This window comes from Homo sapiens, chromosome 3 (assembly GCF_000001405.40).
Source record: "Homo sapiens chromosome 3, GRCh38.p14 Primary Assembly".
Lineage (NCBI taxonomy): Eukaryota > Metazoa > Chordata > Mammalia > Primates > Hominidae > Homo > Homo sapiens.
Window position 1 is genome coordinate 38,523,650 of NC_000003.12, and position 13,214 is coordinate 38,536,863.

General features: G+C 46.1%; 1 protein-coding gene and 1 pseudogene across 24 annotated transcripts in view, besides 1 other annotated feature; one reads left to right on the top strand and one right to left on the bottom strand.

The window, feature by feature from the left end:
- The window catches only part of EXOG (exo/endonuclease G), a 29,964-nt gene extending 27,310 nt beyond the window's left edge, over positions 1 to 2,654 (top strand). For 23 of the 24 annotated variants that reach the window (NR_153330.2, NR_153326.2, NR_153329.2 and 20 more), the window contains one exon: positions 252 to 2,654. Coding sequence is in view for 11 of the 24 variants with exons in the window: in XM_047449374.1 (XP_047305330.1) it covers positions 252 to 713 (462 nt within the window). In the remaining 13 variants the exon portion in view is untranslated. The remainder of the gene's footprint in view (positions 1 to 251) is intronic. The other variant, NR_134938.2, reaches the window with a different exon arrangement.
- On the bottom strand, positions 3,097 to 3,713 carry RPL18AP7 (ribosomal protein L18a pseudogene 7; annotated as a pseudogene).
- Positions 7,747 to 10,892: an enhancer, noted in NCBI's record as "VISTA enhancer hs2266". NCBI's record gives its function as "enhancer in: heart[7/10]" and the evidence as "EXISTENCE:transgenic organism evidence [ECO:0001131][PMID:17130149]".

Consider the following 13,214-nt stretch of genomic DNA (forward strand, 5'->3'; position numbering starts at 1 on the left):
GAGCCACCGTGCCTCACCTGGGGTTATATTATTTTAAAGAATGTGATCAGAATTGACCTGTTAAATACTCTTCTTGTATGTGAATCTCTGAGTCAGTTTATTATTTTTGGCAGTTGAATTTAAATTCATTAGAACAGAGTGGGATGGCTTATAAGTACATTTCAGCAATGCATTAAATAAGTATTTTTCAGAAAAAATTTGCGAACTGTTAGCACAAATTGGCATCACTAATATGGCTGCTTTGTTTTTAGGTGATTGGCGAGGACAACGTGGCAGTCCCCTCACACCTTTATAAGGTAATCCTGGCCCGCAGAAGCTCAGTATCTACCGAACCACTGGCGCTAGGGGCCTTTGTGGTACCCAATGAAGCCATCGGCTTCCAGCCCCAGTTAACTGAATTCCAAGTGAGCCTCCAGGACCTAGAGAAGTTGTCAGGACTGGTGTTTTTTCCTCATTTGGATAGAACTAGTGATATCCGGAATATCTGCTCTGTGGACACCTGTAAGCTCCTGGATTTCCAGGAGTTCACCTTGTACTTGAGTACAAGAAAGATTGAAGGAGCCCGATCAGTGCTCAGACTGGAAAAGATCATGGAAAACTTGAAGAATGCAGAGATTGAACCAGATGATTACTTTATGAGTCGCTATGAGAAGAAGCTAGAAGAACTCAAAGCTAAGGAGCAGTCAGGAACCCAGATAAGAAAGCCATCCTAGTTTTTATCTCAAGATGTGTCATACCGTCTGTAATGAAGCAGGCATGCCCTCTTTAGGCTAACATATTTTAGTGGCTTTGCTTTTTGCTTTTTAAAAAGTTTTTCTCTTTAAGAGATGTGGTCTCGCCGTGTCATCCAGGCTGGAGTGCAGTGGTGGAATCATAGCTCACTATAGCCTCAAACTTCTGGGCTTAAGCAATCCTCCTGCCTCTGCCCCCTGAGCAGCTGGGACTACAGGCACACACCATCACCCTCAGCTACTAGTGGCTTTGCTTTAAAGAAACAGTGGAATCCTAAATTTATGACTAAAAATTCCCCCAAAAGATGAAAGATCTACAATGTTTTTGTCAGTATTATATTTGACTCAGGAACTAATTATTAAGGGAGCTTTGACACCTGCAGATGGAGGGCTGATCTTGTGTCAAGTTAACAGGAAGACTGCCCACAGATGACACTGCATTTGTATCCCTGTGGATGTAGAGTATTGGGAAGGCATTTGTTTAGTTTCATGCCTCCAAACCATGCATTGTCTGTGATGTATCTGCCCAGCCTTCTCAGAACTCAATGTTGTACATTTTTCCCTCTAGGACCTGAATTGGTCTTGGAGGCAGCTTTTAGAAATCCTCTGTGTAGTTCCTGTCCACATGCACTATATATTTGTTTCTTTTTTCTCCTCTCATGAATCTGCTCGTTTCTCTACTTCTGTCTACGTAGAAGCACTCAGCAACTAGTTTCTGCTCATTAAATGTGTTCTATATACTAGGCTCAGTGCTTTACATGTGTTGTCTCACAATGACTCTCTGAGGTAAATACACTATCCCCATTTTACCTGTGAGAAAATTGAGGCTTAGAGAGCTTAGTGTCTTACCTGAGTTTCACTTTTCCAAAGTAGTCATCCACAAAGTATGAGGCAGACAGATCTAAGAGAAGAAAGACAGCTGAGGTAGATTCAAATCTTTTCTGACATGGATGGTGGCTTTTTACTCAGAAATATATACCTATTTCCATGGGTATTTGTGGGCCTGAGGCATGCTTGGCAAGAAGAGTCTGGTTTCTCGTCTGCTATGCAAGCCAAAGGGACTTTAATGTTCTTTGAATTGAACCCTCCTTAGCTCTGTGGAAAGAGACAGTCAGGAATATTTGGGAATTAGACGGCAATACTTTGTGGGGTTTATTAGAGCCCATGCTTGCCTCCAGAGATACAGTTCTTTTAGTGACCAGATACTGCCAAATTGATGTGTTCTTGCTTTCCAGGTGAGCTTTTTGTTCTTAAGATTAAGAAACCTATGAAGGATCTGCAGCCAGGCATGGTGGCTCAGGCCTATAATCTCAGCACTTTGGGAAATCGAGGTGGGTGGATCGCTTGAGCCCAGGAGTTTGAGACCAGCCTGGGCAACATAATGAAACCCTATCTTTACAAAAAAATACAAAAATTAGCTGGGCGTGGTGGTGCACACCTGTAGTCCCAGCTACTCGGGAGGCTGAAATGGGAGGATTGCTTGAGCCTGGCAGGTCAAGGCTGCGATGGGACATGGTCATGCCACTGGACGCCAGCCTGGGCCACAGAGGGAGACCCTGTCTCAAAAAAAGAAAAGAAAAAAGAAAAAGGTCTGCCCACAAAATCACTAGCTTATTATTTGCTTCCTGTGTGCCTGCTTGTCTACCTAGCATAGTAGGCCAAAGGTCCAAAGGCATTTAGCATTCCTAGGGGAAATTGTGGCTGTTTTTCTGAGCCAGATCTCTTGATTTGGGTTTACACGGAGTCCTTTCATGGACTATCCTGAGTATTGTCAGTAAAACGTCTTGGGGCATAAGAACTTGTCTGAATCTGTCATACATACCACTGCTGTCTTTTCCGAGTGGTATTACAAGAAAGATTTTTGTGGTGTGTTTGTTCTAAGAGAAATGCCAAGGCTTTCAGATAAAGATAAGATGATAATGATTGACATTGTTCTGCTCTTTTATTTGGGTAAAAAAGGAAAGTTGAGGGGTCAGAACACAGTAGCCTGATTAGTACCATTCTGTTTTGTCACACTGTTCCCCATTAGCTTGTACCAGTTCTCCTCTTCTCGGGGATGTAGAGCCAAAATGTCACTGTGACCAAACAATCTGTTCAATTTTTTCTCCTCAATGGAGAGGTGATGGTGTGGCCTGGGTGTTTCTCCAGGAGTGTGAGTGGGCAGCTCTGTGGGATAAGTCCTAGGTACCTACTGCCCATCTCTAGAGGCGGGCCCCCAACTCCCTTCCCCTGTTGCTCTGTTCTGCCGACCTGCATTGCCAGCAGCCTTGGAGTTACTTATGCTCTTCTTGCTCGTTCCTCTCCACCTAGATGGTAGAATCTCTTATTTTTAGATCAATGAAGTTTTTTTTTTTTTTTTTTTTTCCACTGGGGCATTCCTGAGTTTATTTGGGGCACACCCGGGTGAGGGCCCTGCCCCTAGAAGAAGGTGTTGGGCCTCTTGGTGAAGTGTGGCTTGTGCGGATAGTGCAGTACCTAGTGGGGCAGCAGGAAGTTGATCTTGGAGTCATGGAACTGCTTGACGGCTGGCCGGCGGCACTTGCTGGCTGTGGTCTCCTCCACCTTCATGATCTGGACGGAGTGGGCCCGGGCGTGGTGCCAGGCGCCCATGTCTTGGTAGCACTGGGTGACAGCACCCGCGGTGGTCAGGTCCCCATATTCCCGGCACATGTTGTGGGTGCTGCTCTGGGCGTCACAGTGCAGCCAGATGCCGAAGTTCTTCACCCGCAGGGGGCACTTCTCAAACACCTGCCCACAGTAGCAATCTCTCCTGAAGACTTCTTCATCTTCTTTAACTGAGATACCAAGTACCAAAAGCAGGACTTGGCGACGACATGATTAGGTGCAAAGATTCGCATGTGGTAGAGGGGTAGTGTATGGCATTTGGGGGTGGGCAGGCAGCGACCCACCACCTTGTACTCTCATAGTGTGCCTGAGGCCTTCATGGCGTCCTGTCTGCCCTCACCGCCACCTGCAAAAGGACAGATCAATGAAGTTTCTTAGGTTTTTATTTCTTTTGAAAGATGCTGCCTGGTCATTGTGGAAAATGGAGATAAGAGCTTGTAATACAAAGTTGCAGTCTGCCAGTCCTCATTTTTATTTATATTTATTTATTTATTTATATGATTTGCACATCAGACAACCTTTGAAAAAGTTTGTTAGTGTGTAACAGTGGTGTTTGAAATGTATCAACACTTTCTTCAAGAGTTCCCCCAAACAAACTTGAAATGTAAATAATTGGTTAGAGGTTAGAATTTTCCTCCTGTCATACCGCTTCAGCCCTCAATGTGGCTGTTGATCATCCTGGACTCAGATGCAGCATAGGCTGAGCGTGAGATTCTGCCCTTCTGTTCTCTTTACCCTCAGACAGTCCCTGGTCTGAGGGAAAGGCAGCCGTGGAGGAAGTGCCAGTCTGGACAGGCTCTTCTGCTGGAAACCCACATCCCAAGTTTCTCTCTACCTTCAGTGATATCTTTATTGTGAAATTCCAAACTGTGGTCCCTGAATTGAGGCTGTTGCACCAATATTGTTGTGTGTTGCCATACAACAAATTGCAAAGGTTAGGAGACTGGATGTCAGCCCTTAATTAAAGACCTGCAAATATTTCTGCCCCTTGCACCTTGACCTTCAAGCAATGGAAAACTTGTCTTTCCTTCAGACCTTTGATTAGAACTCTAGGCTGAGTTCTATACTTGGAATGACTCTGAATGTTACCATGTCACCTACCTGTGTCCCCTGGCCTCATCCTTGTGAGTACATAAGTGTCATTGATATCACCTCTGTGAATCGCAAACTTCCCATTAGCAGCCCATCCCTGAACCTAACCCTGCACCCAGGGTGCTGTTTGTTCCCTGCCCACCCCTTCATACCTTCACTCTGTGTGTCCTTCCCCGTCCTGGCACACTTCCAAGTGCCTTCTGTATCCTCACTATAGTTCATTCTGATGGATTTGGTCAGGGCTGGGCTCACATCAGGTGTGAAACTCCTGCTCCTGCCTGTCTCCATGCCTAGCCTCCATCTGGGATGCTTTCCTGGATGTCATCCTTCTTGGAGATTGTCTATCGGGGATCCAGTGTTCCTTTTTCCAGTCTAGCCCCACCTTCAGGGAGCAAACCTCAGGTCATTAGGGCCAAGCAAGATGGACTGCATTGACACAGGCCCCATGCAATTCAGGACAGTGGGGGTGCCGATGGGCTTTCCTACTCCTGAACATGCCAACTGTGGTCAAGGGGTGGACTGCCCCTGAGTGTGCCAAGTACCTCTAGGGGTCACTGTGGCCTAGTGTCACTGCAAGACTTAGTTTCAGCTGTGGCACCACCCCAGTATGGAACTTGCAGCTCTGTAAGCCACAAAGAACTCAGTCAGCCTCAGACATCAGGCACCAGGCACTCAGGCTGGATGGAATAGCAGAGGTTATCTTGTCCAGTGGGTCTCATGTTTGGCTCACATCAGAATAGCCTAACAGCTTAATAATGTTCCCCTAAACTTTGTTTTGAGAAATTTCAAGCCTACAGAAAAGTTGAAAGAAGAGTGCAATGATTGCCCCTCCCCCCAAATTTTGTCTCGTTTGCTTTCTCTTTTTTCCAAATTATTAAAAGCAATTTGCTGTTTTTTTTAAAAAAAGTAAATTATAGGCATGACACTTCACCTTTCTAATACTTCAGCTTATATTACCTAAGAATAAGAACATTCTTATTTTTTAATATAATTTTAAATTTTATTATAATTTTAAAATATCACATCTAAGAAAATTACCAGAATTTGATATCATCTAATAAACAATTCCTATTAAAATTGGCCCAGGTGTTCCAAAATGTTGTTTATGCAATTTTTTCCCTAAATATAGGTTTCACTCAAAGTTCATGTTGTTATAACTAGTCTCAATCTAGAATAATCTGCCTCAAAAAATAGATTCTCTAACTCTTCTTGAGGTTTTGATTCTGTAGATTTGGTGTGACGTTGGAATCAGTATTCTCTTTTTTTGAGAGAGAGTCTTGCTCTGTCACCCAGGCTGGAGTGCAGTGGCGCGATCTCAGCATACTGCCACCTGTGCCACCCGGGCTCAAGCGATTCTCCTGTCTCAGCCTCCTGAGTAGCTGGGACTACAGGTGTGTGCCACCACACCTGGCTAATTTATATATATTTTTAGTAGAGATGGAGTTTCACCATGTTGGCTAGGCTGGTCTTGAACTGGCCTCAAGTGATCCGCCCACCTTGGCCTCCCAAAGTGCTGGGATTACAGGCGTGAGCCACCACGCCAGCCTGGAATTTATATTTTCTAAACAAGTAACACTGATGATTCTGCTGATAAACCAGGGTTTCAAGCCAGACTGGCCCTCTACTATACCTCCACCCTCTCCCAATACATATAGCCACTAGACAGGAGTCCTTTGTCAGATAAGTGGTCTTTGAGCTTCCGAATATCTCTAAGGGAGTATGTTCTCCTATCCCTTTGGGCCCCCAGCTATGCAATTTTCTTTATAGTAGATCTTCATAAGATGAAGTTGAAACCTTCCCTTGTAATTCCTACCCATCAATGACAGGCCCAAACTGCCATTCCAGGCCACACAGAACTGGCTGGCACCTCCTTTCACCTGATAGTCCTTTTGAGATATGCAGCTTATAAAGACATGTGGCATCTCATGTCACGCTCAGGTGCTCATGAATTTCAGGCCCTTCACCATCATGATTTTTTATGCCTTCATGATGTGGCAGCCACATCTGAGCAAAGCATTCAGGACGCAGTGATAGCAGTGCTGAACTGAGTCCAGGGGATTGACCGCTCTTCTCAGGGACGCTCCACTTTTCACACTATATACCATTGCTTCCTGTGGAACTCGGTCCAACTAACTGCCTCAGGTCTTTTTCACATGATCGATCTGCTGTCAAATCACTTTCCCGTTATGCACTTACAGAGCCAATTTTTGGAGCACAAATGTGAGATTTTATGTGTGCCCAACTGTTAGGATTTCATCGTGTTACAGTTTCTACCCATCTTCAAGTGAGTTCACATTCTTGATGATCCCGATTTGGCCATCTGACATGGTTAGCTATGCATCCGAGCTTTGAGATAGCAGATTGAATAAACAAGCCTTCAATGCGTTTGTTAAAAGCATTGAACAAGACAGAGCCATGGAAGATCCCTCTGGTAGAAAACTCACTTTACATGGCAACCCACTTCACATACCCAGCAAGTTTCGTGTGATAATGTGCTCTGATGTTTTCTATTAAGTTCATTCCTGTTTGTTTGTTTGTTTGTTTACTTATAGAGACAGGGTCTCACTTTCTCACCCAGGCTGGAGTGCAGTGGTGCAATTGCAGTTCACTCTAACCTTGTACTCCTGGGCTCAAGCAATCCTCCTGCCTCAGCCTTCTGAGTAGCTAGGACTACAGGCATGTACCAGCATGCCTGGCTAATTAAAAACTTTTTTTTTCTGGAGATGAGTTCTCGCCGTGTTGCCCAGGCTGGTCTTGAACTCCTGGCCTCAAGCAATACTCTCACTTTGGCCTCCCTAAGTGCTGGGATTATGGGCTTGAGCCAAGTCACTGAGCCCATTTCTGTTTCTTTAGAAGGAAAAACACTGAATTGATTGCATTATGGAGAAATAAGTCTCCATCACAATTTGCCTGTGAGTCACTCTGGGATAGGGAGAGTGCCTGCCGCATCTCTGGGTCTACATGGCATGACTGGGCCAATGTTTGGATGCCAGCAGTGGGCAGGGAGGCTGCTGGGGAAACTTGGGGTCCCACATAATCATCTTTCCACTTGTCAGTGCGGGACAGTTGAGGACAACTGACTTCATCCTTCTGAATCAGGTTCCTCACCTGCAAGCAGGTTGAGAAGGACCTGCAGGATTGGTTGAGGATTGAATAAGATAACATGTGCAGTTTGGTAAGCTCTTAATAAATGGTAGCCAGTTACTGTGAATTCTTGAGAATGATTATTGGTGTCTGATGAAAGTCATCCTGATCTGAGAGAGTGAAGGACAGAGCCGGGCCTCAGTATGGTGTTAACCTGAGGTGGTGGAAGTGGTTCAATCTCTTCTCAAATCCTAAGACTGTGATGTGTTGCAACCAGCCCTTTGAGCATATCCGTGCTTTACAGTTTGCAGAGCGCTTTCCAGTTAGAGCTTATGCAGTCCACCATTTGAATCGGCGCGATTCATCCCATTTCACAAACGAAGCAACAAACTCTAGGAACTTACCAAGATTTTCCAGTTTCCAATCTAATGTTTACCCTCAACTCCCCCCTCAAGGTTGTTGCAGTTATTTTCATTTGCTTTCTTTTTTTTAATATATATATATATTTTTTATTATACTTTAAGTTCTAGGGTACATGTGCACAACGTGCAGGTTTGTTACATATGTATACATGTGCCATGTTGGTGTGCTGCACCCATTAACTTGTCATTTACATTAGGTGTATCTCCTAATGCTATCCCTCCCCCCTCCCCCCACCCCACAACAGGCCCTGGGGTGTGATGTTCCCCTTCCTGTGTCCAAGTGTTCTCATTGTTCGATTCCCACCTATGAGTGAGAACATGCGGTGTTTGGTTTTTTTGTCCTTGCGATAGTTTGCTGAGAATGATGGTTTCCAGCTTCATCCATGTTGCTTTCTAATTCGGTCATTCATGCATTTACCCATTTCAGCCCTACAGTGCCCTGCTAACTCTTTAGAGGCAGGAGGATAATGGAGTTGATTCTTTTCTGAGGCCCCTGCAGGGTTTTGCAAATAGTGAGTGACACTCAAGAGATGTTTTGGAGTTATGCAGCAAGTCAGAAACGTGGAGCTTATCCTGCTTGAGTCCTAATGTGCTCATTTCACTTGGGCAGGGGGCGCAGGGACACAGAAGGGTGGAGACCTGGGTCCTGCTATGTGGCTGTGATCAAGCCTGGGTCTTGAATAACACCCGGGTACTGAGCATTGCTGAACTCATGCCTGAACTCCCAGGGCACTTTCCCCGGGCACCCTATGTTAGGCTCTGCAGTCTCGTCTGTGGTCTGAGGCAGTCACCCTGGTGGGAAGATGGAAGCGTGGAGGTGGCAGTCAGAGTGCGCTGAGCAAGGGCTTTTGTGTGTTTGACCCTCGGAGAAGCAGAGCTAAAATTAGGTCTTCCAGCTGTGTGCAGGTGTGAAGCCCCACCCCCTTACCTACCCCCAACCAGGATCTCAGAATTATTCCCATCCTCTCCCTCCTCCAGCCCCAGTTACTCCACAGGCACAGGATGAAATGTCCTACCTCTGGTGATGCCCGGATAGAAAGATCTACCCAAATGTCCTTCAAGGCTGCAGGGGTGGGGGCAGTGACAGGCAGTGACCTTAAGTTTGCTGAGCCTCCCTAGCACCTTTGAGGTCTTGGTGCAACCGGGGCCCAACTGGCTCCTTCTTAGACCACCAGACAGGATGATGTTTTGGTTCCCTCCCTGCACACATGAAGGGACCCTGGCTTCTCCCACTAGCCTCTTGATTGATGTGCTCTGTGCCCCTACTCTGCCCACCACTTCAGAGAGAGCCTTTGACCCCTCGCCACCCATCACCATTCAGACACAGATGGAAGAGAGCTAGTCTGGGGGCAGAGATGGAAGAGCCCTGCCCTGGGGGGTCTTATCCAAGGCAGGTGGAGCCCAGGATGATATGATTTGATTGTGCTCTCTCTCCCTGCATGAGGCTAGAATAGGAACAGACTGGCCCTCCTCAGGGATAAATGTGCCCCTCACTCCTCCTTCACTATGGCCCTTGGAACCCTGCTCTCAGGGGTTCCCCAGCTGAGGCTCATACTCTTTCATGTTCTGGTCTGGGGTGAGAACCTGCCTTCTACTTCTGGCTCCTCGGTGTACCTGCGATAGGATCTTAGTTAAGTAGCCGCTCCTCACTCTTCAGTTCCTTTATCTGTAAAGTGAGGGGTTGGGGCTAGACAGTGTCCAGCATCCCTCCTCTTTGGTGTCTCTTAATTGTCCAGGGCAGAGCAATCCTTGGAGCAAGGCAGCCTGCTGCGGTGGTTTGCAGAAGAGGCACAGTGGGGCGGGCTGGAGGCCGCAGGGGCAGAGTGGGCCGAGGGCCTCTGATGAGGTGTGAATGAGGGAGGCAGAGCAGGGCTGGTGTGGACAGCCCTGTCCCAGCCCTATCTCCCGTCTGCGACACCCTCTCCACACCCCAGTGCTGATAAGCGGGTGTGAGCCACGGCCGCCTTGTGACAGGCCCTTCGGCAGGGAGGGTGATGGTGGGGGTCCACTCCACTTCTGAATTCAGACGTCAGCATCTTTTTCCCCCAACCCCCATTGCCCTGTCAGACTAGACAGGCCCTAGCAACCAGGCACCCTCCCTGACAGTCCCTGGCTTGGAGATTTGTTTCTGCTCCATGTGGCCTCAGCCTTCTCAGAGATGGTAGGAGACAGACCTCCCTCAGTCCTTTCTGGCAAAGTGCCAAGGAGGATGACCACCTCCCACCCCCATCAGGCCCGTTCCTGCAGTGACTGCTGATGCTGGGGCCTGGCACACACAGTGCTTCTTATCACTGGGCAAACTTCAATGGCTGATCCTTTTGTCTCCTCTCCTCACCCCATCTCCTCTATCGCTGTGACCATCAGCTTCCAGTCTTCCCCCTCCAGCTCCCTAGCTTTTGGGCCATTTCTGTGTCTGGGCCCACCTCTTTCCTCTAAGGCCACTGTTCACCAGAAGGCTGTGCCAGAAACCTCTTATTTCTGGATTCACTGGGATGGGGTGGAGGGAACGGAAAAGTCTTGGAGAAAGAGAGACAGAAACTTGGAGCTCTAGGGAAGGGGAAGGAGAAGACAAATAGGACCAAGCCAGAGGCTATAGGAAACCCTTCAGGGTGGAGGGTCTTGGCCCAGGTGTCTAGCCCCTAGGCTCTATGGCACTGAACTCTGAACTTCCTTCCATGCTCTAAAAGGCTCTCTTCTGTGTTCAGATCTGAAGACTATTTTGATTAGCAGGCTGCATCCATACTGCTCCGGGCAGTCCCACTGTATGTGTCTGTGGGGAAGGGTGTGCCTGTCCTCCTGTGTGCATTCCTGTCTATGGGTTCCATTCTCAGCCTCTGCATAGCTTAGGAGGCATCAGAGCATCCTGAGAGCACAGACTTGAGCCAGGCTTATTAGCCTGGGGTCATATCTTTGCCATCTTAACCAGGTGGGGGAGCTACAGCAAGTAGCGTAACTGCCCTGTGCCTTGGTTTCCCCATCTGTAAAATGAAGATGACAACATGGATGATAGATAATACCATATACCTTGTAGAACTGTTATAAGTACCAAATGAGCTAAAATAAGTAACGTGTTTTAAACCGTATCGGGTACAATGTAATTATTGGCCATTAGTAATATTTTTGTAAATTTTATTTTAATATAATTTCAAACTTAGATACGGAAAAGTTGCAAGAAATTCCCATATGCCCTTTATGCAGATTCAGCAATTGTTTATATTTTGCACATTTATTTTATCATTCTCTCTTTCCTCATATATATGTGTGTGCTTATGATGTACTCTGTATTCGTATCTACCATATATAGTATATATACACATACGCACATGCACACACATATTTTTTTCAGAGTCACGTGAGAATAAGTTGAATACATCATGCCTTTTTTGCCCTAAATACTTGTGTGTTTTGGTAAGGACAAGGATATTCTCTTACAAAACCATAGTATAGTTATTAAAATCAGAAAATCTAACATTGGTCTAATACTGTTATTGAATCCACAGTCCACGTGTATATTTCATCAGTTGTCTCATCATATCTTCTTTCTTTCTATTTCTTTCTTTCTTTCTTTCTTTTTTGAGATGGAGTCTTACTCTGCTGCCCAGGCTGGAGTGCAGTGGTGTGATCCTGGCTCATTGCAACCTCTGCCTTCTGGGTTCAAGCGATTCTCCTGCCTCAGCCTCCCAAGTAGCTGGGATTACAGGCATGCACCACCACAACCAGCTAATTTTTATATTTTTAGTAGAGATGGGGTTTCACCATGTTGGCCAGGCTGGTCTCGAACCCCTGGCCTCAGATGATTCACCCACCTCTGCCTCCCAAAGTACAGGCGTGAACTACCAAGCCTGGCCTATTTCTATTTCTTTTTCCTGTTCCAGGGCCACTCATTGTATTCAGTTTCCATGTCTCTTTCACCTCCTTTAATCTGGGAGAGTTCCTCAGCCTTTCTTTGTGTTTCTTGAATTTGACAATTTTGAAGCGTGCAGGCCAGTTATTTGAAGAATGATGTTGCTCAAATCCTGTTGGATGCGTCCTCATTATGACTTTCAGGTGATGTGTTTTGGGGATGATTGCTGAAGGTGATGTGTCTTTCTCAGAGTCTTACATCAGGAGGCACATTATGTCAACTTTTCCACTTGTTAGTGATATTATCTTTGATCACTTAGTTTAAGTGGTGTCTGTTCCCCCTCCTGTAGAATTACTATTTTCTCTTTCTAAGTAATAAGTAATTGTGGGGAGATAGTTTGAGACTATATTCCTCATCAAACTTATACCCACTAGTTTTTGCCCACTAATAATTTTTTACACCATCATTACTTCTAAACTTACTAGTTGGCCCATTCATACTGGCTCCTGTGTCTTTTGACATTTATCTTCATCCGTCTTTAAGCACTTTTTTGCTTTCTGGCACAATAAGATGTTCCAGGTTTTCTGGTGTTTTCCTGGCTCTAGCCCTGAATCAGCCATTTCATCAAGGAGCCCTGGTTCCTTTTAATGGAGAATGATATTTAGAAACCAAGATTTGGGTGCTGTAGGTGCTCATTCATATGGTGTGTTATTGCTTCCAGTTGGTCCTTTTTATTATCCATTCATTTGGATACAATGGTGAGGGCGCCACTGAAGAAAGTGTGGCTTAGGGATGGAAAGGGGGAAAGGAGCCAGATGACCTAGGTAGAGACTCCCCTCTCCCCCTCTAGCTCTCCAGGTCTTCCCCACTTTCTCTTTCCTCCCTTTCCCTCTTCATCATGACCTCATTTCCCTTTTCTTGATCAAAATTCCTCTGGAGATTCCAGCTGTGGGAACCTCTGAAACCACTTCTGCAGCTACACGTGTGATACCAGAGGCAGACAACTATGTGACCTTTGTGTGTGAAAAGCCAAAGGCAAAGACAATTTATGAGAAAGTTTTTGCTGAGAACAATCTGGTGACAGGGTGATTGGGGAAGACACATTTGGAAGATTTCCACCTGGACGTGTTCCTTTTCCCTGCCTGAAAAGCACTCAGAGCAGAGCCTGTGTGGAGGCTGGGATAGGGTGCTGTGGGAGGTCTGTTCTCCAGATAAGCCTCTTCAAGGCTCTGGGGACCAACGAGGAGGATTTAAGTGCCTGGTGAAGTCCACTCTCTGTGTCCACAAGTCACAGAGACAGTTTAAAATGAAATAACTGGAGTTCAATGAAAGCCACTTAAATAGCTTTCTTAGTTATGTAAATGTAGGGTGAAGAATGAGTGGCCTTGGTCCCCCACCTGGAGTTAGTTTATTGTT